Source organism: Homo sapiens, chromosome 1 (genome assembly GCF_000001405.40).
Source record: "Homo sapiens chromosome 1, GRCh38.p14 Primary Assembly".
Lineage (NCBI taxonomy): Eukaryota > Metazoa > Chordata > Mammalia > Primates > Hominidae > Homo > Homo sapiens.
Genome location: NC_000001.11, coordinates 7205916 through 7233592, shown reverse-complemented (window position 1 = coordinate 7233592; position 27677 = coordinate 7205916). Strand labels below are relative to the sequence as shown.

Sequence of the window (27677 nt, the reverse complement as noted above, 5' to 3'; positions counted from 1 at the left end):
AAGTCCTCATCAAATGAGCAAATTAATCAAGAAACAGCAACTTTTCTTAAAAATAGAAAACTTCACTTATTACGCTGAAAGCATTTGGTCAGTGACAAGCCAAAGAAAAGGGGGTTTAAGATGAGAGAGAATTAATGGCATCACCTGTCTTTGCATTCAACACTATAGTCAAGAAAGAGGACCAGCCATTCCTGCTGCTTGGTGCAGCCAGGTCACGTAAGCCCCATCCCAGCACAGTGATGGGAGCCCTGCTCCAATGCCACCCAGCGCCTGGCTCATGTTCAGCCCCACCGCAGTCTCCTCCGGCCAAAGTCCATGCCTCCCAAATGGTGCCTGGTGCTTCCGTGGCCCCTCACTTGTCATATTCCAACACCGATATTTTATTAAGAATCCAATGTAAATCTGAGAGAAAATTAATGTGTCATCTCCTAGCAGGAAGGACTAAACATCTCAATGTGACGGTCTGTTAGAGTTGTCATTTATCATTAGCATGCAATTCAAGGCAAGCTTCTCACATTCTGGTGGGAGCTTTCGAGACAATGAATCTCTGGGAATTAGCTTCTGGTCCAATTATTCCTATTTCTACCCCCCACCTACCTAAGAGATAAATTCCGTCTCGGTGGGAGGGAAAAAAAAAAAAGAAGAGCAGGAGGAGGGAGTTTGCTCTTCTCCTTTCTGGCTGAAATCAATTTTTCTCAAGGAGACAAGGCAATATTCATTTTGTGAGAAGGGAATAAGGCTGCACGCGAAAGGCCAATCAATGGAGCCATTCGGATGAAAACTTCCTCAAATCAAATGTAGGGGAACCTCTTAATGCGCTTTGTTCTTCTTTTCCATAATCCATAACTATTAAGAGAAAGATGGGCGGAGAGTAGCTGCCACAAAGGGAGAGCTACATAAACAGCCGGCCCCTGCAAACACCGGTCTGTGCACCCTCTCAACCTGTTTCTGGAGGCTCCCTACGTGCCTGGCCCCGTGGTAGGCACCGGGAACAGAGTGCTACACAGGTGTGCCCTGGTCCTCAGGGAGCTTATGTTCTAGCAAGGAGATAGGCCAATAAAAATAAACTAATAAAACATATATGGCTGTAAAGAAGATAACCCAAGATAGGAATTCTGTGCATTAAAATAGAATTGTTTTGTCTAGGAACTGTTTAAAACCTTTGGTGCAAAACATAAAAACGCACTCGGACGTAAATCATGCTCCTGGTTCCAAAGCAAACAGGACAACTGGGATGAACAGGCAGATGTCGGTGCCTCCGGGGAAGCGAGAGCCGGCCATGAGTGCTGAGAAGCCGGGGCAGCCGTGTGCAGCACAGCCACACCTGGGGAGTCCAGGGTGCCTTGCTCAGCCACTGAGACTGGGATTCCAGGCAACTGTCCCTCCATCTGCTGGCCAACCACGTGGTGTCCCCCAGCCACACAGGCCAGAGACAAAGGGCTGGAGGGTCCTGGATCAGGAAGGCACCTCTGCCCTGGAGTCCTCTAACAGGCCCCGCTCTCTCTGCGGGGACCACCCACTCAGGGAGAACAAAACCAGCCTCCGATGGGTGGTGTCTCCCAGCCAAGTCCTCCCCGGCATCGCATGCACCCCCAACATGAAAGTTGGCAGGCTGAGCCATCCCTGCTGCTGGGGTCTCCATGAGGGCAGAGGCCACATTTGTTCTGTTTGAGCTCCAAGAAGTCTCTGTGAGGGCAGAGGCCATGCTTGCTTTGTTTGCACTATAAGAAGCCTTTCCTTTAACCTGCACAATCCTGTTCAATAGGATTAGATCCCCATTTGACAGAAGAGGACAGCACATGTCAGAGGCCAAGCAGTGACCCGAGGGAGGCTGCGCTTGGCCCCAGGTCTGGCTGCCGCATAGGGGAGCTGTCATCTCCATCTCATCGGAGCCACATAGCAGCTTTGATTGAAAATCTCGGCCGGGTGCAGTGTCTTACACCTATAATCCCAGCATTTTGGGAGGCTGAGATGAGTGGATTACCTGAGGTCAGAAGTTCAAGACCAGCCTGACCAACATGGTGAAACCCCGCCTCCACCAAAAATACAAAAATTAGCCAGGCATGGTGGTTGGCACCTGTAATCCCAGCTACTTGGGAGACTAAGACAGGAGAATTGCTTGAACCTGGGAGGCAGAGGTTGCAGTGAGCCGAGACGAGATCATGCCACTGCACTCCAGCCTGGGCGACAGAGCGAGACTCTTTCAAAAAAAATAAAACCTCTCTCTCTCTCTCTCTCTCTCACACACACACACACACACACACATTAAGCCAGTATGTGATGAATGCTGGGGTCACGCAGTGCCTGCAACGGCCCCCTGAGCCAGCCTGCTTGGCTTCCCTGGACTCTCCTGCTATCCTCCTCCTCAGCCCTTGCCTGGACACCATCAGGCTATTTCCAAGCTTCAGGCCCACGTCAAGGGGCCAGGAGGTTGCCTGGGCAGATCCCCCGGGGGCTGCTTATCCTACTTAGGGAGGTAGCCACCGGGGCTCTCATCCCACGATCAGACTCGACTGCACCCTGAGTTGGGAGTCCCTCTTGCCATGTGACCCAGTTGGCCTCCTTCCACCTTGGATGCAGCCATGGCTCCTATTTGCTGCCACACCCTCCAGGCTCCTGGGGGGTCCCTCTGTACACTGGTTCCCTCAGCCACGAGCATGGTGCTGAGTGACTCTGGGTTCAAGGAGAGAGGATCCCACTGTGTGCCCCCAACAAGACAGGACTGAGGGCCTCAGCCACCCTCAGCCAACAGCTCCTAGAGACATTGCGGGCGCCAGTCCCTCATGCCATCTCCCCAACTGGCGTGGCTCCCGGGGGCTGGGGCTGGGTCCAGGAGTCACCTTGGCTGCCCTGCCTGGCTGCTCTTCACCTGGGCCAACAAATAAGGATGCTTTCCCAGATCTCTCCGGCATGGGCTCCCGAGCTGAAGAGCCTGAGGGATAACCCTCCACCCTCCACCTCCTTGGCTAAACAATGATTTTCTCGCACACCTAAGACAGCCAACTGCAGCCACTCTGCCAGGACTAACACTAGAATCAGAGGAATGGCTTTTGGTACAGATGATGGGCGATGAGGCAGAGATTCAGGAGGATGTTCCAGATGGCGGGAGATAAGCAGGTAAGGCGCTTTCCACAGAGCTTTGCGGGGCGGGGGGGGGGGGTCAGCCCAGAGCAGCAGCCCAGCCAAGATCCACAGCACCCAGGAGCCCAAGAAAGCCGGGAGAGGGCACAGGCTCAGAGCTGGGGGTTGCCAGTGCCCTCAAAGACTCTTTCTTCCTCTTCCACCCTCCTCCCCAGACCCCGGCCTCATTCCTGCTTCCCAGAGCTCTCTCAAATTGCTAAGGCCTTCTTTAGTTTTTCAGGAGGGCGCTGGCAACCAAAAGCGCAGCTGTGGATCATTAAGCCACAATTTCAAACCTAGGCTTCAGGGCCGGGCCAGGAGCCAGGCCAGGCTGGGCTTTCCCCAGATGTGGTGGGGGGGGACACCCTAGGAACCGGCTTTCTGGGTGCTCCTGTCCTTCACAGGCCCACATACCTCAGCCCCTTCTCCGGCTGCTCAGAGCTCCTTGGGGTGAAAGCGCCCCAGGAACACTTCACCAGGGCCTTCAGGTCATTCCTTGGAGCTTCAGCCCAACCGGCCTCTCAAAACCCCAAGAAGAAACATCTGGATGTGAGTCATTGTGAATACCAGGCCTCACTTCTCACCAATGGTCATCGGGGAGCCGGGGGACTATGCGGGCTATTTTCTTCTTTTTACCTATCTGTAGCTCAACTTCTCTATAAAGAACATCAACTGTTTTATAACCAGAGGAAAAAGAAACATCCTCTGCCATTGAAGAATTGAGTTCTTCATGAAGGACGCTGAGGCCCAACCCCCGCCCTCTGTGCTCCTGGCTCACAGGCTCGCTCCCTCCAGACTGGCTCTTGCCTCCTCCCCTCTCCTCCTTCTCTCCTTCCTCCTCTCCTTCCCCCTCTCCTCCTAGCCTCCCCTCCTCCTGCCCTCCCCTCCTCTCCTCACCCTCCTCTCCCCCTCTCCACCCCATCCCCATCCTCCAATCCTCCCCTCCTCACCCCCCCACCTCCTCTCCGCTTCCTCTGGTCCTCCCCTCCCCTCCCCTCCTCCTGCCCTCCTTCCTTCTCCCCTTCACACCCCCCTCCTCCCCTCCCCTCCTCTCACCTGCTCTCACCACTGCACTTGGCCCTGCAACCCTGCCCAGTCCATTGTCCTGGCCTCCAGCTGCCTCGTGGTCCAGCCCTGCAACACTTCACCATCTGCCCTCACTTTCCCGGCTCCCTGGGAACAGGGGTGCATTTGACAACCTCTACAAATCTGGGAAATGGCCCACAGTGCCAGGGCAAAGCCGTGCAGAAGGCCCAGGGAGGATGGAAGGACAGCAACCCCTGTCCCCTAGAGCTCTCTCAGCCCCCTCTGCTCTCACCTCCACTCTCCCTCCTCTGCCCCAGGCCCTGCTGTCCCTGGGGTGGCCTCATCATCTCCTCCTGGACTCTGCGGGGCTGCCCTCTGGGCTCCCCTCCACCTGCTCCAGGGAGATGCCTGTCCTGACGCACACACTTTCTGTACTGCTGTGAAGGGAATTCCTGGGCTGTGTGCAGAGCCCTCCCCCTGGGCTCAGCCTGCTCTGTGGCCCCTTCCCATGCATCCTTAAGCCCCCTGACCCAAACCCATCCCCCTCCAGCAGCACAATGTGCCCTAAGGCCTTGGTGTCACAGCACACACTGTCACCTTAGTCCAAAGTGCCCCAAGGCAGCTGTGGATCATGAGGCTCCTATTTCAAACCCAGAGCTTCATCCCCTGGCCAAAGTCCAGCATCCTGGTTGGTTCCTCAGGGCCAATCCCGAATGCCACTGCCTCCTGCTCTGCTGGCAGGTTCTCACCCCTCCTGTGCCGCAACGCCATCCCCGGTCCGAGGCCCCTGTAGGTGCTCTTGCTTCATTACAGTTTGCTCCACATGTCTGTCCCCAGAGGGCTGAAAACCCCTGGGAGAGCCACAGCCCTTTATCTTGGGGTCTTCTGCAGATCTAGAAGAGTCTCCAAAAGTATCTCCAGTGTGTTCCTAACTGGGGCTGGGAACAGAGACCACAGGGCCCTGCTGGAACCGCAGTGAGAGCCCACACCTGCTGAGCACGAAGTGAGAGTCAGGAGCTATGCCGAGGGCTCACATGCACGAGCCCCACTTGACTACTGCCATGAACCTGCCCGCCTCGGCCCCCCAAAGTGCTGGGATTACAGGCGTGAGCCACCATGCCCGGCTGAGTCCGGAGTTCTTGAAGAGCTCGCAACACCACCCTTGTTTTGACGGGCTGCGTGATCACAGGACTGCATCTCTGGATTTCGATAACCATACATGAATTGAGCTGAAGGTGTTTTGGTCAATGGAGACCTCTGTGCCTCCAGAGCTTATAAATCAGAGCCCTGTGGTCTAACAGCCATGATGTTCCCCAATCATGTTACTGCAATATTAATAAGGCTGTTTAATGCAACCAGTTCCTTCTAAATTGTCACATAAAAATTTGGTAAATGTCAGACATATCATTTCATAGAAAATAATGTTTTACTGCCAGGGGAGCTAGGTGGCTGAGAAGATGAGTGCAAAGCCTGGCGACAACCTTTGGCAGGTTTGAGGGACAAAGCGCTGCCAGCCTGGGGCTCCCGCCTTGGCCCTTCTTTCTTGCAGTCAGCAGCCACCCCGAGTCCCCATGTGCAGGGGCCCTGGGTGAGGAGTCCTGGGGAGGGGAGGGGCTAGAAGAAACAGCCCTTCCTGTCCTCACGCAGCATACAATCCTGTTGCAGCAAGAGAGACTACCAGGTTTTCTCAGTCACTGGTCACTCCTCAGGATGCCCCTTGTCATAAAAGATCATTACCCCCATTTTAGGAAACCCAGGCAGCCCCCAGGAACATTGGCCCACACAGGAGAAACTTGACGTTTACAAAGGGATGAGTTCGGCTGGGAGCAATGGCTCATGCCTGTAATCCCAGCAATTTGGGAGGCTGAGGCAGGTGGATCACCTGAGGTTGGGAGTTCGAGACCAGCCTGACCAACATGGAGAAACCCCGTCTCTACTAAAAATACAAAAAATTAGCCAGGCATGGTGGCGCATGCCTGTAATCCCAGCTACTCAGGTGGCTGAGGCAGGAGAATCGCTTGAACCCAGAAGGCAGAGGTTGCGGTGAGCCAAGATCACACCATTGCACGTCAGCCTAGGCAACAAGAGCAAAAACTCCATCTCACAAAAACGAAAAACAATAAAACAAAGGGATAAGTTCACAGAAGCAAAGTAGCATCCTGTAAACTACTTATAAATGGGGTTGGTGTCCTGTAAAAGGGGTTGGTCCCACTAATTTGGGCGGACAGGGGCACAGAGACGGACAGAGTGACATTCTCCACAGCCTAGTTTATGATAGGAAGAGTGTGGAAAACCCCTAAAAATGGCTTCAGTTGGCCGGGCGTGGTGGCTCACGCCTGTAATCCCAGCACTTTGGGAAGATGAGGCGGGTGGATCACGAGGTCAGTAGATCGAGACCATGCTGGCTAACACAGTGAAACCCCGTCTCTACTAAAAATACAAAAAAATTAGCCAGGCGTGGTGGTGGGTGCCTGCAGTCCCAGCTACTCAGGAGGCTAAGGCAGGAGAATGGCGTCAACCCAGGAGGCGGAGCTTGCAGTGAGCCGAGACCGTGCCACTGCACTCCAGCCCGGGTGACAGAGCGAGACTCCATCTCAAAAAAAAAATAAAAAATAAAAAAGGCTTCAGTTAACTGCTTTGGTAAATGAATCACAGGATATTGATAGAATAGTAGATAGTTATTAGAAAAAATGTGCATATCTCTATTTGTTAACATGGAAAGAGCTCCATTATTTAAAAAAAAATTGCAAAATGGAATGCATGGTGAGATCTCATTTCTATAGAATTCTTCACTTACCCAGCACCTATATGTCTATGTGTACATAAGGAAAAGTCCGGAAGCATTGAGTTCTCTAAAACCTTGACCCTGGCTATCTCTGGGAAATGGGACTTCAGAGGATGTTTGTGAAGTTGGTTGCTTTTTGTTGTATCTTTCTGTGTGGTAAGAATGTTCTTCAATGAGCCTGTTCTATCTTTATCAGAGAGAAAGATGTTAATTTAAATGAAATTAAAGGACAGGGATTACAGCATGAACTCAGCAAGCATTCACGGGGCACCTGCTCTGCACCCAGTCCTAGGGATGTAAGGGTGATGAAACTCAGCCATTGCCTGGAACAGCCTGAAGGCAAGTGGAAATCACAAATAACAAGCAGATGATTGTAATTCCACGAGGGGCAGGCAATGAGGGTGAGGTGGCGGGGCGGGAATTTGAGGGGGAGGCAGTGAGCTTTGTGTCACCTCCTTTTACTGCAATAAACCTTGGCCTGCATGCCCCCTAAAAGTGGGTTCTTTGGAGGCACGTGTTTGGCCTCAAGGAAAGTTCTCATTGAGCAGAGTTAAAAAGCCCCTTTTGGATCCTCAGGGGATGTGGGGACAACTGAACTCAAAGCCAGAGAAGGCAAGAAGGAAACACCTGCCTCAAGGGGCTGTGGACAGGCACTGGGCTGAACACGCCAGGCCATCCCACATCTGCCATCCTAGGATACCCCCAAAAGGGGATGCTAGGATCCCAACCCCTGAGATGAGGAATCAGTGGCTCGGAAAGGTTCGCTGCTGGCAGGAACCCTGTAGGGATGAGCAGAGGAGCCACACTGGAACAGTCGAGGGGATGTGTTTCTGTCACTCACCATCTTCCTGCAGGGAGACTAGACCCTGAACTTCTGAGCTGGAAATGCCACTGTCGAGGGAACTCTGAGCCAACCAAAAGTCTATGATCATGCGCCTGTGACCTTCTCCAAAGAGGGACTGATGCAGAGAAGTGAACCCCCGAAATCCTGCTAAGTGTCTGAGCTTCCACCCTTTCCTCTGGGGTAGCTGTCAACCCCGCTGGCACATTGCACTGGGGTGCCGGCCTCGCCACTCTTGATGGGTTGTTGATGGACCCTCCCAGGTGTTCTCAGCAACACCCCACCCACAACCCCAGGAAAGGGAAGTTCCAAGGGAAATCCAATGCCTTAAATGAAGAATTCCCAGGGCCACTCGGAGAAAAGGCTCCCAGGATATTGTTGGTGGGGAGGGAAAGGGTGACAGTAGAGGTCTTTCTGGGTAATAAAAGAGATCTGCTGGCCGGGCACGGTGGCTCACGCCTGTAATCCCAACACTTTAGGAGGCCGAGGCAGGCGGATCACGAGGTCAGGAGATCGAGACCATCCTGGCTAACACAGTGAAATTCCGTCTCTACTAAAAAATATAAAAATTAGCTGGGCATGGTGGTGGGCGCCTGTAGTCCCAGCTACTCGGGAGGCTGAGGCAGGAGAATGGCATGAGCCCGGGAGGCAGAGCTTGCAGTGAGCTGCGATCGTGCCACCACACTCCAACCTGGGCAAAAGAGCAAGACTCCATCTCAAAAAAAAAAAGAGATCTGCCAAGATCAGTAAGAATTTGCCCCAGGCTCCAGTGCCCTGCCCAGCTGGCCCCTTACAGCCCCTTCCTGACTCTTCCTAGCCTCTCCTCCAGCCTCCTCATCTCAGTCAAGGAGACACTAGACGATGGGGTCAAGGCGCTTTCTGCCATCTGCTGGCTGCGGCAATAAGGATGCAGCTCATGTGACCCGAGACTCATCAGGGCAGCAGCCCATGCAGGTGGCAGCAAGGGAAGCTGAAGTGCGGTGGGCAGGGTGCCAACGGACCATCCAGACGACATGGAGCAGCTACGGAGCAGGGCCCTGGGGAGCGGGGCAGGGAGGCATATCCACCAAACACTCCCACATCAAGAGCCCCAGGTGGGCTTTCATCAGGTCCCCACTAACCCTAGAGCCTTGCCCTTAGCAATCAATGACACCAGCGGAGAGGCGCGGGTGTCACGCCTCCAACCTGGGACCCCGCTTGAGCAGGGACGGAATTCATGAGTTTTGTGCTCCTGTACAAAACGATGATGACATTTAAAAATAAAACCCGTACACAGCAGATTCCTGAAAAATAATAATAATAACCTTAATTTTAGCAAGTGGAAAATAGTTTCAGAAAACTGTTTTGCTCTTGGATCTCGTTGGGAACATGAAAACCTTCTCAGATTCAGCCAGCTGCTGGTTTTTCCACTTCCCTTTGGGTGGACGCTGAGCCATCCAGCTGTGGCGCCCTTGCCAACTGGGACGAGAGCCTGCAGAGCGGTGCAAATTTAGGCCATCCAGTGGAAAGCTCACCAAGCGCCTCGGCCACTGGGCACAGCCTGACCTTGAGCAGCGATTATGTTTCCAGCTAAGCCTGCAGCCTCTCCTGCAGTAAAAGGAGACTGACAAGACCTAAGGCCTCCACCTGGCAGAGCATCATTCTCCCTCCCATCGGGTGAGGTCCAGGATGGCTTGAGCACTCTGGCTTTATGTAAAGGTGCTACAAACGTTAAGGTGCCCCATCCTTTATACAACTGCATGTCATGTGGGTTCATGGTAGTGATTATGATTAAGATTAGTCTGTGGTCATTACACACCCAGAAGATCTCTGGTCATCTGGGGTGATCGAGTTATTCAGCAATCTTCCACCCCGCCCTCTAACAACTGCAGTGAAGATGGGATGATACCTTCGTTAAATATCCCATAGGCCCCAAGGTAAACCTGAGAACTAATAAATACATGTAAATACATCTAATAAAATAAAATTTGAGATTAAAAGGAATCTCGCTTGCATATTCATGAACCACGTGGAAACTCAAATGAGCTCTTCTAAGCTCCTTATTCATGGTGAGTCAGAGATTTAACACATGCTGGGAAGATTGCTTAGCAAATATAAGCCTGGCAATGGCACATGCATCCATGAATTCATCGGACAAGTATTTATTAACTGTCCCTTTGCATTACTATTTATGTTGCATATTCATCCCTCTTTGCAAACCCAGGGCCTCATATAAATGGCAGGCACTCACCTGTTGACGATGCTGGTGTTCTGAGGCCCTAGAAAGCACAACCCCTGGCCTCAGGTTGCTTATATCTGCTCAAGGAGGTAAGAGTCACTTCCTCTATGAAGCTTTCCTGACCCCTCAGGACCCTGTTAGGTGACCCTAGTATCCATTTCTCAAGACTCTCCCTGTTAGCACCTACCTCCCATCACACACTCACACACACATACACACACGCATGCATACACTCACACACATACGCACACAATCACACATACACATACTCACACGCACATGCACCTGTTCCATTGTCTCTATCCTCTCCTGCACTAAGTTTAGGGTAGGGAGACACTGAATCTGCTTTGCTCACCCTAGCCTGACATACACATGTAGGAAACATTCAGTACATCACTGGATGAATGAAGCAAGAAATGAATGGTTGGATGGGTGGGTGGGTGGGTGGGTGGGTGGATCAACAGGTAAGTAAAGGCAAGGCAAAGGCCTAAGTTGTGGCCCAAGGAAAGATGTATGAGGGGGTGGCCCGCAAGGGCGAGAGGAACAAGAGCGTTGGTCATCAAGGGAAGAAGATCAAGAAAAAAAGGTTTGAGATCTTAAGGACAGTGAAGACTTGGCATTGGGTGAGTTGGTATTTTCTGGTCATTTCTGTGCCACACAGGGTGCCGGGCACCTCATGAGCATCACCCCGGATCCTCACAGCTGCACCTGAGGCAGATATACCCACGTAGAAGAGGAAGCTAGGCTTAGCAGGATAAGCTGGCACCACTGCAGAGCTGGCACGCGGCGAAGCCAGGATTGGAGACCAAGTGGGCCTGACCCAAGCTCTCTCCATGAAGACCAATGGGCATCCTCTGGCCCAGGGACCATTGCCATCAGGTGGGACCGTTGCCATCAGGAAAGAAGAGAGCGTGCTCCAGGAGGCAGCTCTGGGCAGTGCAGAGGGATGAAACAATCAATATGGTGGCTGGGCCCCTTGGAACAAAGAGAAAGGGCTGGGGCTGTCTAGGGAGGACTCAGGACTCATGACCCACTCCTGCCCACAGAAACATAACTCACTCTCCGCCTGAGCACAGCCACTATGTCATGGGGTGATGTAGAGCCAGGGAGGGAGGCAAGGACACGTTCCTAAATAATATCCTATTTTGTAGTCAACAGTCAGGCAAGAGGAAGGGAGAAAGAGGAGGGCAGGAAGACAGCGAGATGCAGAAAGGATTGAATGTTCCATGAGGATCAAATCTCAGCCTCCCCGCAGGTGCATTGAGACAGAAGACGCAGGTCCTCACAGCCAGAGGTGCTCATGGAACCAGCCCGGGCGATGTCTCATCACCCAGACGAGCACAGAAAAAGACAGGCTTGCAGGGTCCCACGGCCTGTCTGACACAATGCTCATGGGGTTTTCTCAAAAGCATCATCTATTTAGCTGATGGCCCCAAAGTGTTTCATTTAGCTGGAAATCGTGCTTGGTCCATTTCCCAGATCTCAGTGACATTATGAGAAGCCAGCAAAATGTGTCTGGCAGCAGAGCAGTTCAGCAACCCATCACCTCGAGTCACAGTCCTGTCGCCCCTGTTTGGAAAGCAGACAGTTCAGACGACTTCTAGAAGGCAGAGTCACTGCTGCCTCCCAGGCAACCGAGGACTACAGGAAGCCTGTGTGTGTGTGTGTGTGTGTATGTGTGTGTGTGTGTGTGTGTATGCACCAGCTTGTGCACATGCCCTCTGAAGGAAGGCAGGGGTCACCCATGGCACAAGGCAGTCACCATCCTCCCTGACCATGGGATAAAACTTTGCCATTCCTTTATCTTATTTAATCTTCCCACTAGGCAGGAATCATTATCCCCAAACTATTTCTGAGAAAGCCAAAGCTTAGCCGGTTCATGTGGCCCCAGCCCCACAGCCAGCAAGAAGCAGGGCTGAGACTGTAATTCAGCACTGTCTGAATCCAAAGGCCAGGCTCACACTGAGACCCCAGCGTTCCCCACCCCATTCCACGGGCCTGGAGAGGTGTTTCACGACGCATTCACTGGTCTGCCTGGTACCATATAAAGAAGAATCAAGTCCCATCACCAAAGAAATTTGCAGAATTCTCAGTGAACACAATGGAACAGGTCTGATTCTGGAGGGACTTCCTGGAGGCCTTCAAAGGCTAATGCACACTATGGAAACCCAAAAGCCGGAGCAATGGCTCTGCTCGTGAAAGCCCCCGAAGGCAAGACTCTGGGTGTGTTACCAACTCTCCGAGTCTCACACAGTCTCTGGCACAAGGTAGGAGAGTGCAATACCCATCAAGTGCTTGAGTGAATGAATGATGAATGAATGAACAAGTAACTAAATGCTGTGAATGAGAGTTCTGTCTAAAGATTAAAAAAAAAAAAAAGAATAAGGCTCTGGGGAAAAGGCCCCAGCATCTCTGCTGTCATGGAGTATTCCTGCTGCCTAAGGTCCTCTCATAGAACCCGGCCCTTCCTGCACTGCCTCCAGCGTTCCAGGGGATGGGTTCTGAGAAAGCCGGGCCATTCATCTGTGCTGGTGCCGTGCCGGCCTTCGGTGCTTGCTGCCCTGGCTCTCCCACCTGGTGGGCTCTAGGAGGAATTCCCCGTGAGGGCACAGCAGAAGCTGACTGACAACCAGGTGGGAGGGAGACCTCCTGGGCCCAGCTGGAGGGCCCTAGGGAGCGGGAGGCAGGAGACAGGACCTCAGTGACCCTGGAGATCGCTCCCCATATGTCCTCATCCTCTCCACCACTTCTTCTCCATGTCCAGGCACTCGTGGGAAGTTAAAACCCAAAGTTGGGCCCGTGGTGCCAGGTCAGGGGACAGCAGGTGCCACCTGGGTGCCCGAGCACAATTCCTTTCTCCCTGTCCGACTCAGCCTAAGATTGGCTCTCATTTTGAAAATGCAGCTCAGATGTTGGCTGTGTCCCATTGGAGAAGCTATCTGAGGCCTTAACCCTCCTCTGGAGAGATCCAAAGCCACAGAGCCGAGGTGGTCCCTTTTTCTGGAACCCACAGAGAACAAGAGAAGACAGGGTGGCACTGTGGGAACACCAGGTGACAAGACTCAGCAGTGGTCTCGGAGGAGACAGAAGCTGTCTTCAGGGATCTGAACGCTCCCGGGAATGGGGTATCCACCCAGAGAAAAAATAGGCCAGGCCAGGATCCCTGAGCCCACAGCAGGCGAGACTCAACCCAGCAGAAGGCGGGTTTGTAAATGGAAATTTCCCAGCGTGCCTGGCCTCTTTCCATTATTCCTCTGGGCCCAAAGTACAGACACTTTACAGGTTTTCCCTGTCCTTCGAGGAGGCCTGGGATTTCTCTACTATAATAATTCATAGGTGGTCTATTTCCAGAACAAAGATACTCCATGTATTCATCTCACAAACATTCTTGACCCCCTGCAATGAGTCAGGCGTGGCGCATTCCCTAAGCCACGCAGCGCTGAATCTGACTATGGTTTCGGGCTTTGTATGAGAATGCTGTAAAAATATGGTTGGCTGACATCTGAGTTAGCTCAGGCTTCCGTAACAAAGTACCAGAGGCTGGGTGGCTTAAACAGCAGACATTTATGTCTCACAGGTCTGGAGACGGGAAGTCTGAGATCAAGATGCCAGCCAGTTCCATTCTTGGTGAGGGCTCCCTTCCTGGCCTACAGACGGCCACCTTCTCACTGTGTCCTCACAAAGCAGGGAGAGAGCTCTAGTATCTTCCTCTTCTTTTTTCTTTGTTTTGGTAGAGATGGGGTCTCCCTGTGTTGCCCAGGCTGGTCTCAAACTCCTGACTTCAAGCAATCCTCCTGCCTCAGCTGCCCAAAATGCTGGGATTACAAGTGTGAGCCACCACACCAGGCCCCTCTTCCTCTTCTTATAAGGGCACTAATCCTATCATGGGGCCCCACCCTCACAACTTCACCTAAACCTAATTCCCTCCCAAAGACCCCATCTCCAAAGACTATCACACTGGGGTTAAGGCTTCAGCACATGGATTCTGGAGAAACACAGATATTCAGTCCATGGAAGATGGTGTGTCTCCTTTTTTTTTTTTTTTTTTTTTTTTTTTTTTAAGAAAAAATTCAAATGTCAGGAGAGAGCACAGACACAGTCCCCCACTACCACAAATGATGCAGTGAGTTTCCCACATTTGGGGAAATCACAAGGGTCAACACATCTGGCGCACAATGGATAAGCCTCACCCTGGGAGTACCACCTTCAGGATCCTGGTATATCTCCCGTGCCAGGTAAGCATGGCGGGTCCCTTCTTGATAGAGACCTACTCGCATATACACAATGTAACAGCCACCAGATCACACTCACCCCTGGCAGCAGAATGGCAACGCTCCCTCCCATATGCCACAATAGTAAAAGGCTCGTTGAGTCCAACCGTAAACACAGAAACGGAAAACACGCCAGTATTTGGCTGAAGTGTCTATGAAAAAGGGCTGGCTGAACAGATGCCGGTGTAAACAAGCTTACAGGGGAGACACTTCACCTTCGTAAGAGAGCAGACCTTTTAAAGATATCCTCAAGATTCTTTTATGGTACAATTAACATGAAAAGATGGTGTTCATAACAGGCTTGAGTTACAATTGTACTTGAAATTGATATAACTGCACACGTCTCCTAAAATGCCACGTAAGGGACTTCCAGGTCGCCAAGGTAATGATAGCCACAAAAACTCAAATCTCCCAACGCATCCTCTGAAAACTACACAGATCAACAAGAAGAACAAAAACAACCACACAAATCCCACACACCTTTCACACGACTGGAAAAAAGAGACACTATAAACATCAAATTAACAAATTCTTGAGTTCCCACCCAGAACTTTTATAAAGAGCAAGAGGATAAGATGGGTCCAAAAGCCAATGAAGGCAGACGTCGAGCATGGAGAGTTTAGGAATAAATTACAATTACCTGAAGAAAGAGAAAGTACATCCTACAGGGAAGAAAATACCAAAAATGAATCCAGATAGACCAGAATATGGACTAGAAGGAAGTGATTTAAAGGTAGGCAGGGGCAGCATTGGCAAATGTGCAGGGGAGGGAGGGAGAAGCCAGATGTGGGCATTTAGGATTCTGCAAAACAAAAAATAATGATACATCCAAGGACCCTCAACTCCTCCCGCCCCTCCCCCAAAAACCAGTCATAAAGAAACTGCACTTCGCTGCACTGACAGAAGAGGGAGCTCTTGAACTAAAAATCACACGAACCACTCAATGTGGCGATGTAAGTGGTCTTCATCTGTAGAAGACTATGAAAGAAAAAAAACTAAAATGAGAATACGACACTTACCCCAAAATCCCAACCATAAGGTGGAGGGGGAGGAACTGTGTCATAACACTACAAACTGAATTAAAAACCTCAACGATGCATTTGAAAAATATCCTCAACGCTTGTAAATGAAAAGATCAAATAACTTACTATAAGGGCAACAGAGACAGTTGTCAGCCTTCTCAAAAACAACTTAGAAGGTGGGGCAAGGATGGAGCAGCAGTTTCATAAAACTCAAAGATTTTATATCTAGCGAAGCAGACCCTCAAAAATCAGAGGTACAGAATAAGAGTTTAAAATATGGGAGAATTGAGTGATGTACCCACAGGCGCCTCTGAAGGAATCTTCTAGAAAATTAACTTCATCCAACCAGGAGATGACTAGGGACTCTTTGGCAAAGGAACTTATGGGGAACATTTAATATATTTAATTATGGACCTAAATTAAGTGTGTAACTAAGGTTAAGAGAATCATACATAGATTATATATGTTTTGTCAACTACAAAATGATAGGAAACAAAAAAAGGAAAGACAAAACCAGAATAAGCTCAGTGATGCTTGTATAAGCAACAGGTAGGAGTCAAGAGACTCCATTAACAACTGAAAGACCAAATGGTAAAAGTTAGTAAGAGACTAAAGGGATTTTTAAAGGTAATGAGTACAAAGGTACCCATTAGACTAAAAATGAGAATTTCTTATATATAAAAAGAAATTAAATGAGTATAGAAAATGCATCATGTAGAAAGACAAGTACAGCAAGTAGAACATAATACACATTGCATTTATTATATAAGATATTATACATATTGGACATATAAATAAAAGTGAATGGGTTTACTTATGAAAATAAAAAAATTTTCAATTTGGCTTAAAAAGAAAGATCCAACTATATGTTATATATAAGAGGCATACTTTTAAAAAGAGTGTATTAGTTTGTTCTCACACTGCTATAAAGAACTGCCCGAGACTGGGTAATTTATAAAAGGAAAGAGGTTCAACTGGCTCACAGTTCCACATGGTTGGAGAGGCCTCAGGAAACTTACAATCATGGCAGAAGAGGATGCAAACACTTCCTTCTTCACATGGCGACAGGAGAGAGAAGTGCCGAGCAAAGGGGGAGAAGCCCCTTATAAAACGATCAGATCTCGTGAGGACTCACTATCATGAAAACAGTATGGGGGAAACTGTCCCCATGATTTAATTTTCTCCACCTGGTCCCACCCTTGACACATGGGGATTGTTACAATTCAAGGTGAGATTTGGGTGGAGACACAGAGCCGAACCATATCAAAGAGATTCAGAAAGCCTAAAACTAAAAGGATGGCAAAGACATATGAGGCAAATGGAAATAACAAAACAAGTATTGCAATCTTGATATCAAAGTAGAATAAGTATAATTTAAGAAACAACATTATGACACCTTCTAATGCTAAAAATCACATTCCACAATAAAAATATAACCATAATGAGTATTAGTGCACCAAACAAGACTACAACCACTTTTACAGGAGAGGAAATTGTAGGAAATATAGGCCAGGTTTGATGGCTCACACCCAGCAATTTGGGAGGCCAAGAATGGTGGATCACTTGAAGTCAGGAGTTCAAGACCAGCCTGGCCAACATGACAAAACCCTATCTCTACTAAAAACACAAAAATTAGCCAGGCGTGGTGGTACCTGCCTGTAGTCTCAGCCATTCGGGAGGCTGAGGCACAAGGATTGCTTGAACCCAGGAAGCGGGGATTGCAGTGAGCCGAGAACTCAACACTGCACTGCAGCCTGGGCGACAGTTCTGTGAAAGAACGAAAGAAAGAAAGGAAGGAAGGAAGGAAAATGAAAGAAAGAAACTGTAGGAAATATAGATGAAAACACTAAGAATAGTGTGTTTACCACACCGCTGTCAGTACAAGAGAAACCAGATAGACAAAAAATAAGTAAGGACACAGAAGCCCTAAACAATATAATCAATTTCCTTGACAAATCAATTTGTCACTGATGTGGTTTGCATGTGTGTCCCCACCCAAATCTCATGTCAAACTGTAATCCCCAGTGTTGGAGGAAGAGCCTGGGGGAGGTGACTGAATCATGGGGGAGGATTTCCCCCTTGCTGTTTTTGTGATAGTGAGTGAGTTCTCAGGAGATCTGGTTGTTTGGAAGAGTGCAGGACCTCCCCCTTCACCCTCTTCCTCCTGCTCCAGCCACGCAGGACACGCGGGCTTCCCCTTCGCCTTCTGCCATGATTGTAAGTTTCCTGAGGTCTCCCCAGCCATGCTTCCTGTAAAGCCTGTGGAACCATGAGTCAATTAAACTTCTTGTCTTTATAAATGACCCAGTCTCAGGTAGTTCTTCATAGCAATGTGAGAGCAGACTAATACAGTCATACTTCATACTTTTTCCTTGAATTACCTATTAGTAGATGGGGAATCTACTATACCTTCTCCTTAAGTACACATAGAATATTCACAAAAGTTGGTCACGTGTTAGGTGATAATCAATGCATTTCATAAAATAGAAATATTACAAAGAAATATTTTCTGATCACAGTCTAATAAAACTGGAAAATAATGTTAAAAATCTTTTCAAAATTAAAGCAATAGAAATTCCAAAAATGTACATGTGATCATGAAAACACTACATACCAGGTAAGGCACGGTGGCTCACACCTGTAATCCCAGCACTTTGGGGGGCCAAGGTGGGAGGATCACCTGAAGTCAGGAGTTTGAGACCAGCCTGGCCAACATGGTGAAACCCCGTCTCTACTAAATATACAAAAATTAGCCAGGTGTGGTGGTGTGTGCCTGTAGTCCCAGCTACTCGAGAGGCTGAGGTGGGAAAATCGCTTGAACCTGGAAGGCGGAGGTTGCAGTGGGCTGAGATCGCGCCACTGCGCTCCAGCCTGGGCGACAGAGTGAGACTCCATCTCAGAAAACAAACAAACAAAAAACTACATACCAGAATTTATGAGACATATTTAAAACAGTGGTCGGACTGAATATTCATAGCCTTTTTCATTATTTTAGTAAAAATGAAAAATTAAAATTTTAAAATTCTAAGCTCAAAAAGCTAGAAGAAGAACAACAGCAAAACCATAAGAAAGGGGAAAATAAAGTTAGATGTAGAAATAAATGAGGTGGGTCAAATTAACCAAAATTTCGGGTCTTTTTTTTAAAAAATAGGATAATCACAAGCTAAACTTCATCAAAGAATGAGAAAACACAAATATTCCAAATAAGAATGTCAGGATACAGATGAAGGCTTATTATATAGCTACAGTTATCAAGACTGTGTGGTATTAGCAAAGGAATTGACACATAAACCAATAGAATAGAGAACCCAGAAAGAGACCTGCACAAATACACCCAACTGATTTTTGACAGAAATGCCAAAATTAATTCAAGATAGCTTTGTTGAAAGATAGCCTTTTCAACAATTGGTGTTAGAGTGATCAGACATCCACAGGCAAAAAAAAAAAAAAGAAAGAAAGAAAAAGTCTCCACCAAAGTCTTCTCCACACCTGCAAAAACTAACTTGGAAGGGACAATGGGCTTAAAACATAGGAGAAAATTTGGGAACTAGGACTAGGCAAAGGGTTCTTAAACTTAACACCTAAAGCACAACATATAAAAGGAAAAATGGGTAAAGTAGACTTCATGAAAATTAAAATCTTTGGGCCGGGCACAGTGGCTCATGCCTGTAATACTAGCACTTTGGGAGGCAAAGGCGGGTGGATCACGAGGTCCAGAGATCAAGACCATCCCGGCTAACGTGGTGAAACCCTGTCTCTACTAAAAACACAAAAAATTAGCCAGGAGTGGTGGTAGGCACCTATAGTCCCCACTACTTGGGAGGCTGAGGCAGGAGAATGGTGTGAACCCGGGAAGTGTAGGTTGCAGTGAGCTGAGATTGCACCACTGCACTCCAGCCTGGGTGACAGAGTGAAACTCTGTCTCAAAAAAAGAAAAAAATAAATAAAATCTTTGTTCTGTGGAAATGCAAATCAAAACCACAATGAGATACCATCTCACACCAGTTAGAATGGTGACCATTAAAAAGTCAGGAAACAACAGGTGCTGGAGAGGATGTGGAGAAATAGGAACACTTTTACACTGTTGGTGGGACTGTAAACTAGTTCAACCATTGTAGAAGTCAGTGTGGCGATTCCTCAGGGATCTAGAACTAGAATTACCATTTGACCCACCCATCCCATTGCTGGGTATATACCCAAAGGATTATAAAATATGCTGCTGTAAAGACACATGCACATGTGTGTTTATTGTGGCACTATTCACAATAGCAAAGACTTGGAACCAACCCAAATGTCCAACAATGATAGACTGGATTAAGAAAATGTGGCACATATACACCATGGAATACTATGCAGCCATAAAAAATGATGAGTTCATGTCCTTTGTAGGGACATGGATGAAGCTGGAAAACATCATTCTCAGCAAACTATCGCAAGGACAAAAAAACAACCACCGCATGTTCTCACTCATAGGTGGGAATTGAACAATGAGAACACATGGACACAGGAAGGGGAACATTGCACACAGGGGCCTGTTGTGGGGTGGGCGGAGGGGGGAGGGATAGCATTAGGAGATATACCTCATGTTAAATGATGAGTTAATGGGTACAGCACACCAACATGGCACATGTATACATATGTAACTAACCTGCACGTTGTGCATATGTACCCTAAAACTTAAAGTATAATAAAAAAAAGAAATTTAAAAAAAAGAAAAAAAATATTTGCTCTGTGAAGGACAGGATGCAAAAGAAGATACAAATTAGGAGAAAATATTTGCAAACCACCTCTCAGAAAAATGACTGGTATTTAAGATATATAAAGAACCCCCAAAGCTTAATAAAAAATAAAATAATCTAATTAGAAAATGGACAAAGGACTCCAAAAGGTAATTCACCAAAGAGAATATACAGATGGCAATAAACACATGCAAAGGTGTTCAACATCATTAGCCAATTAGAGAAATACAAACTTAAACCACGATTAGATAACATTACACACCTGTCAGGGGAGCTAAAATAAAAAATAGTGACAACACCAAATGCTGATAAGGATGCAGAGAAATGGGGTCATCCGTACATTGCTGGTGGGAAAATAAAGCACGGCTACTTTGAAAAGTGCTTTGGCAGATTCTTTAAAAGCTAAATATGTAGTTATCATACAACCCAGCAGCTGCATTCCTAGGCATTTATCTCAAAGAAATAAAAATCTGTGACCACACAAAAACCTGTACACAAATGTTTATAGACATTTTATATGTAATTGCCAAGAACTAGAAACACCCAGATGTCCTTCAATGTATAAAGGGCTAAACAAACTGTAGCACATTCATTCTATGGTACATCACTCAGCAATAAAAAGAAGTAAACTCTTAATAAATGCAACAATCTAGATGAATCGCGAGACAATTATGCTGAGTCAAAGTAGCCAATTCCAAAAGGTAATTTATTGTATGATTCCAATTATATAACATTCTTGATATGATAAAAATTATAGACATAGAGAACAGATTAGGGGTTGCAAAGAGTCAAAGAGGGTGTAGGGGAGGGGAGGAAGTGGGTGTGGCTAAAAAGGGCATCCTGCAGCACCCCGGAGGTGAGGGACATGTTCTGTATCTTAATTGTGCCAACATCAAGTATCCTGGCTGTGATACTCTACTATAGTTTTCAAGATGTTACCATTGAGAAAAACAGCTCAAAGGGTGCATGGATCATCTCTCTGTATTAGTTCTTACAACTGCATGTGAATCAACAGTTGTCTTGAAATAGAAAGTTTAATTTAAAAAAATGCAATGTGCAAAGGAGTATTTATAGTAGCTGTCTTTTGTGTAAGAAAAAAAGGAGAAAATAAGAAAGTATACATGTATCTGCTTATCTCAGCAAAGAAACACAAAACAGATAAGGAGATAATAATGAGAGTGGTTACCCATGTGTGGGGAGGGATGGGGGCAGTGACACGTCTCTGGATCTAACTTTTTTGCATAGTTTTGATTTTTATAAACATGTTAATGTTTTCCATCCTTAAAAAAATCAACAAGGATGGGGAGAGACCATAAAATAGAACACAAGCAAAAAAACAAAAGAGCCTAATTATATTTTATTTCCAAGAATAACATAACCAGAGAGAAAGGGGGTAGAGATTAACCCAAAAGGCTTATGAACACAGTATTTTGATTATATGCCCTCAGGCTAAAGAAAAAGTGCTATAAACAAACATTGAACTATAGTTGGTAGGTTTGCTTTCTTCAGTGGTATAGGTTAACTCTTATTTCATTATTTTATATATATTTAGGATTTAGACAATAATATACTCAGGAAAATTTCTCCATGTTGGAAAAGAAAGTGCCACATATGGAAAGATGAACGGCTAGGAGGAACCCTGTGATGTTGGACTAGAATTGGTATCATCACAATGCATGGTTTTACACACATCCATGAACACGGATGTTTAGAAGTAGGTGTGGATATATATGTGTTTGTGTATCTATGAATGTATCCTCACACATGCATTGCTTAGCTTCTTCTACTAAGGCAGAGAGTGTCTAGAAGCAATGGCATACCACTCGCAAGGCACACAGCTGGAATTCAGAAACCATTCTCTGCTGAAAGGAGCCGGGGCTCATTAGAGATTGAGCTAATCCCAGGGTTGGTGAGAGGAAGTGGAAGGCGACCTTGGGACATTTTGCTGGACCAGAAAAAAGGAAGCGCTCAAAGAATGACGGGTGCAAAGAACCACTGATAACAACAACACGGATGAATCTCAAAATCACAATAATGAGTGAAATCATCCTTATACAAAAGAATGTATATTGCACATGTTCCATTTAGATGAAGTGCTAGAACAGGTAAAGCTAATCTATGGTGAGAATAAAATCAGAACAGCGGTTGCTGCTGAAGACGATGGAGAAAGAACTGGTTAGAAAGAAACATGAAAGAACTTTCTGAACTGGCTGCAATGCTCTACAACTTGATAGGGGTCTGAGTCACACAGGTGCATGCACTGGTCAAAGCTTGTTCGATGGTACACTTACTATGTGTACCTTGCACTGTAAGTAAGTTTTGCTGAGTAAAAGAACTGTAAATAAATGTTAAAGTCGAGACACTATCATGCCTGCCAAAGTGTTTATGGATGAAGTGTGCTGACATCTACAACTTACTTTGAAATGCAATTTAAACACAAGATGCATTGCTGGGTGGATAGCTGAATAGATCTATGATAAAGACAGCATAATAAAATGTTCATTAAAGAACCTAGGTGATAGGTACATGAGTGTTCACTGAAAAAAATCTGTTAACGTTCTCTATGCTTGAAGTTTTTCATAATAAAATGTTGTGGAAAAATATTATGGGGATTTGTCAAAAGGACACAGTAGCCAAATTGAAAGGGCTTCCATTGGCCAAATCTGTGACAATATAATTACCAAAACAACTAGGTTATAAACCACTGGACAAATATATAACCTAATGAATGTAACTCAGTCAACATAATCTAGTCAATGTCACTCACTAAGATAGAAATCCATGAGTCCATATGGGTATAAACGAATCAATGAGTAAATAAATAAATGTAAGAAAGCAAAAAGCTTTCCAATTTGGTACAGAGTACTAAACAATAAATAAATTTAGAGAAAAATCACCATCTGGCATGCATTATAATAATTGATTCAGACAAGAATTATCAATGGATGCTAAATCAAGGGGTAAAAGTTTAATGAAATACAAGCTACTTACACAGACCTAAACTATTTTTCCATAAAATGCGAATTAATTATGAAGAGAATAAACAATAACTTTACACTGGAGAAACCTAGCAGATACCATCCTAACCAATGGTCAAAGTCAACAATCCCAGTAAAGGGGCAGGCAACCATGCACCTTCTAACACGATGCACTAAGAACAACCCAATGTCGCTTCTGTGGTGTTCCTGCCAAAATTGCATATCCTGAATCTGGTCCTAAGGAAACATCTGACAAACCCCAACCAAAGGACAGTCTACAAAATAAATGGCCTGTATGCTGCAAAAATGGCAAGGTCATGAAAGACAAAGACTGAAGAATTGATTGATGGCGATTACAGAGACATGGAAACTAAACATAACGTGAGATTCTGAATTGGATCCTACAACAGACTATTGTTTTTATTATTGTATTTTGCTAATAAAGGATATTGTTGGTTGCAGGAATAAAGTCTACAGATTGGATAATGCTATTGCATTAGTACTATTTTCCTGACTTTGACCATTGCACTGGCTTATGCAAGAGGATGTCCTAGTTCTCAGGATATACACATTGAAGTGTTTAGGGTTAACGGGGCATCATGTCTGAAACTTACTTTCAAATGGTTCAGTCATGTGCATGCACACATACAGAATGATAAGACAGATATGATAAAATGTTAATATCGGGAATCTGCGTGAAGGGCATATGGGAATTCTTCATTTTATTCCTACAACTTTTCTGAAATCTTGAAATGACTTAAAAATAAAACATTAATAAAAAATTAAATGCTATGTAATGTCAGAATTCTCTATTCTTTCCTGGTCCAAAATGGGGAGGTTCTACTGACTCGGAAATCTCTAAGGATTAAGAACTTCTGTGGCCATTTGACCCTCCCTGGAGTGTCAACATTCAAGGTAAACCAGGAGCTTACCAACCACTGCGACCTGTGGAGTAGGTAGGTGATGCTCTTGAGCTGAAGAACGAGGTTGTTTCATACATTACGCTGGCCAATTCCAACAGATTGTTGCTGACAGAGCTCTGGGTTCTCTCAAAGAGAGTGCCAAGAAACAGACCTGACAGCTGCCTCCCCCTCCCAGTTCTGGAACCACCATCAAAGATGCAATTAATCCAAGGGTGAGACTCCTTTTACTCACACAGCCTCAGATATGAATCAACCCCAAAGTGTTAATAGATCAACAGTTATCTCTAATACCAAATACAATTTGCATTTGAGATGACATCTGCAATATTTTAAAAGCCAATGTCTAAAACAACAAACTTGGCAGTTTTTCTGAGTAGCAATTAACACAGTGACTAATCCTATCAAGAAGACAGTAATTGGCATGGAGACATCCTTCTCACACCAGCGGCAGGTTGAAAAACTTAATCCTAACCTCTTTTTAACAGCGTAGACTCTAGAGCATCTCTGCGCATCAAGGAAACTAAAGCAATTATTAAGGACAAGGGTAATTACCCTACAGTTTCAACAACAACAACAACAAAATAGAAGTATTCAAACAACAATCACATAGGAGAAAGGGTGGGGCCTTGAATCATGGTTAAAGGCTATTTCGGTATCATGGCCAGACTAGGAATAGACTATGGTGTCTCCACGGCCCCACCCAGGACAGAGTCAACCACAGCCCCATGCCAGCCAGTCGGCCCAGCAATGGTCACTGTAGCACATAGCTTTCTATACGAAGGGCTCAAGTGCTGATCTAGTCAAGTAGGAGGTCCCAAGGATTTAACATGTGAAACAACACATATCATCAAGCTGGTCCCTTCGACATCATCAGAACCCACTATGTTTACTCTCAGCCCACATAGTCAAGTTATTCTCCCCAGGTATGACACCTTTCCCCAGAATCTGTCTAAAGCCTTCCCACTCTTCAAGGCTCAGCTATGGTTCTAGGAAACAATCCCAACCCACGGCAGCCCTCAATGAACACTGGGCAATTTAAGCGCCTCTTCTCGGACCCACAAGAGCAAAACACAGAGGTGCACATGTTGACTCATTGCTTCCTGTGGGCTGGCTTGATTTACACCTTCAACAGAATCACATGGTTTTCAAGAGTCAAGCCCCTGCCCTATGTAGCTTTCACATCACCTAGCACAGGGGTAGACAAACAGGTAAAATTCTGGCAAAAATTCCACAGCATCTCAGATGCCCAATAAGGTACCCAATACTCAATAGGGTAAAGGGAGAAAGAGGCTCTTTGTGTGTGTGTGCATTTTGACTGACCTGATCATTGCAGAATTTTCAATGAAGTATGTAGTATGTGTTTACCAAATGAACAAACAAATGAATGAATGCACAATGAACAAACCAAAGAACAAACCAACTTTCATGAGCCTGGATCAGTTTGTCTGGGAGGTTAGCAAGTGTATCCAGTAAGGTCAAGGCTATGGACAAGATGTCTGCACAAGCCAGCTGGCTTCTGCCAGAAAGCACTGCCTGACGGAAGCCCGGTCTACACCTGCAATGCTCCCCAGTTGCCTGGAGGGTGTGCTGTTGGCCACAAGAGGAGCAAGCATGGAGAGAGAGGCTTCCAGCTCGGAAGGGATGTGTTACCCTTTTATAAAGTAGATGACGTGGCATTTTATTGAGCATGGAAACTTCTTACCCATATGCTGTAACCAAACCTTAGTTTAACCCTGGTTTTGCTGGGCAGCAGAATGAGGGAAATGCTAATGGAGGACATCCCTGGACCTGAGGTGAGTGGGCACTTAGCTTTCAAATGCCCAGGAGAGGTAGCAGGGCCCCAAACACTAAAGGAAGAGAAGAGCTCTTATTTCACGAAGACTGGGGAGATAAAGGCAGGTCTTGGATCCACAAGATACCAGGAGCTTGGAATAGACCACACCATATGGAGAAGCACAGAGCCGGTGGTTTGGTCATAAGAAATAAGGGAAGGACACCTGAGTCAAGGCCACAACTGGACCAGCCACTGGCCTCGTGACCCAGGATCCTGCAATGTACCCCTTTAGAAATAGGGTTGATCCTAGATCCACCCATTAGAGGTGGGACAGGGCTCCAAGGTCAATTTTCAGTTGTGGGTGATTGTGTCGGTTGGAAAAATAGAGTGTATATTTTTAGGTGGTATATACATTTTTATCAGAATGAATTCAGCTTTTTAAAACAAGAAGAAAACATTCAATGACAGATTTTCCTCCTGAATTTGTAATATAATATGATAGAAGATTTTCTTTCCACATTCATTTTCTACAGACCTCCCTGTCAGTGTCAGCAACCTGGCCCTTGACACGCTCACTGGGTATCACTGGTGTTATCCAGCGATATCACCTAATGTAAACATGTCTCCTCTTCCAAGCGGGTGGAAAGCCCCAGGAGTGGTGGGGAACTGGGTCTTATTCATCACTAAGCCCTGTTCAGAGCCTAGTAAAGTGTCAGGTACAAGATGCTACTCAGTGGATGCTGATTGTTGATAATTATACAACAGATATAATGCAAGTAAGTCAGCAAAGAAATTCCTCTAGGAGGCCAGTACCAGGGCCAGACACTTCTCAGCTAATAAAGTGTTTAATTTTTACAGAAGTGTGTTTCCCTCTCAGGAGACTAGGAAAGCAGCGTTGCCATTCTCAACTCCTACCAGCAGCCACTGAATGAGAGAGGGGCACTTAGAAGAAGCAGGCCGGGGGTGGGGTGTGCAATCCATGGAGACTGTGTCCATGTGGGAAGCAGCATTTGGGTCAGAATTTGGAAACCAAGGACTTAAGAGAAGTCATTAAAAAGCATGCTGCTTCTGTGCCATTTGCACTCCCTCAGACTGACAAAATTTAAGCATTGACAATAGCTAATGTTGGTAAAAATGTGAAGCAACAGAGGCTCCCACATTACAGAAAGGAGTGAGAACAGAATTAACGCCTTTGGAAAACTACTTGACAACTTCAACAAATGGGAAACAATCTAAATGTCCATCCAAATACAAACAGATAAATATCCTGTGATATATTTATACAATGGAATAGTACACAGCAGTGAAAATAAATAATAGAGTTACAAACATCCACAAAGATGAATCTCATGAAAATATACTGGAAAAAAGCACATTATAACTCGAACACACAAAAAAGGATTCAGTAAACTAGCAGAATATAAAACTGGCACTCAGAAATCAGTACTACAAAGAAACTCCCATGTATAATAGCAACAATAAAGATAAACTATTTAGGAATAAATTTATTCGGGTATGTGCAAAACCTCCATGAGAAAACCTTTCAAAACTAAATAACACAAAAGTATTCCTCAGCAAATGGGAAGACATAAATTCTTCTTGGATGAGACAACTCAGTATCATCACAATGCCAGTTCTCCCTAAATTAATTTATAAATATAATGCAATTTTATGGAGCTAGACAAATTGATACTATAGTTCATGTGGGAAAATTAACCTTCAAGAATAGCCAGGAACACAGAAAAGCCTCAATGGGAACATAAGCCCTACCAGACACTAAAAATACTACAAAGCCTTCATAATTAAAACAGTGTATACTGGTGTATGAGTTGACAGAGAAGTGGAGTAGAAGAAGTCCAGATATGCCCCAACCACATTTGGAAACTCAGTATACGATAAAGGTGGCCTCTAAAATTACTGGAGAAAACAGATGTTTTTAAATAAATGCTGCTGGAACAACTGAATAACAATTTTAAAAAA

The 27677-nt window shown here is 46.2% G+C and overlaps 1 protein-coding gene and 1 pseudogene across 25 annotated transcripts in view, besides 2 other annotated features; both read right to left on the bottom strand.

Moving 5' to 3' along the window:
* Positions 1-27677, bottom strand: part of CAMTA1 (calmodulin binding transcription activator 1) — a 984253-nt gene that overhangs the window by 536114 nt on the left and 420462 nt on the right. The window lies entirely within an intron of this gene.
* Positions 8264-8764: an enhancer, noted in NCBI's record as "H3K4me1 hESC enhancer chr1:7284889-7285389 (GRCh37/hg19 assembly coordinates)". NCBI's record gives its function as "activates a minimal SCP1, AML or CMV promoter by ChIP-STARR-seq in primed H9 embryonic stem cells {active_cell/tissue: H9 hESC(primed)}" and the evidence as "EXISTENCE:reporter gene assay evidence [ECO:0000049][PMID:30033119]".
* Positions 8765-9265: an enhancer, noted in NCBI's record as "H3K4me1 hESC enhancer chr1:7284388-7284888 (GRCh37/hg19 assembly coordinates)". NCBI's record gives its function as "activates a minimal SCP1, AML or CMV promoter by ChIP-STARR-seq in primed H9 embryonic stem cells {active_cell/tissue: H9 hESC(primed)}" and the evidence as "EXISTENCE:reporter gene assay evidence [ECO:0000049][PMID:30033119]".
* Positions 14069-14233, bottom strand: RNU1-8P (RNA, U1 small nuclear 8, pseudogene; annotated as a pseudogene).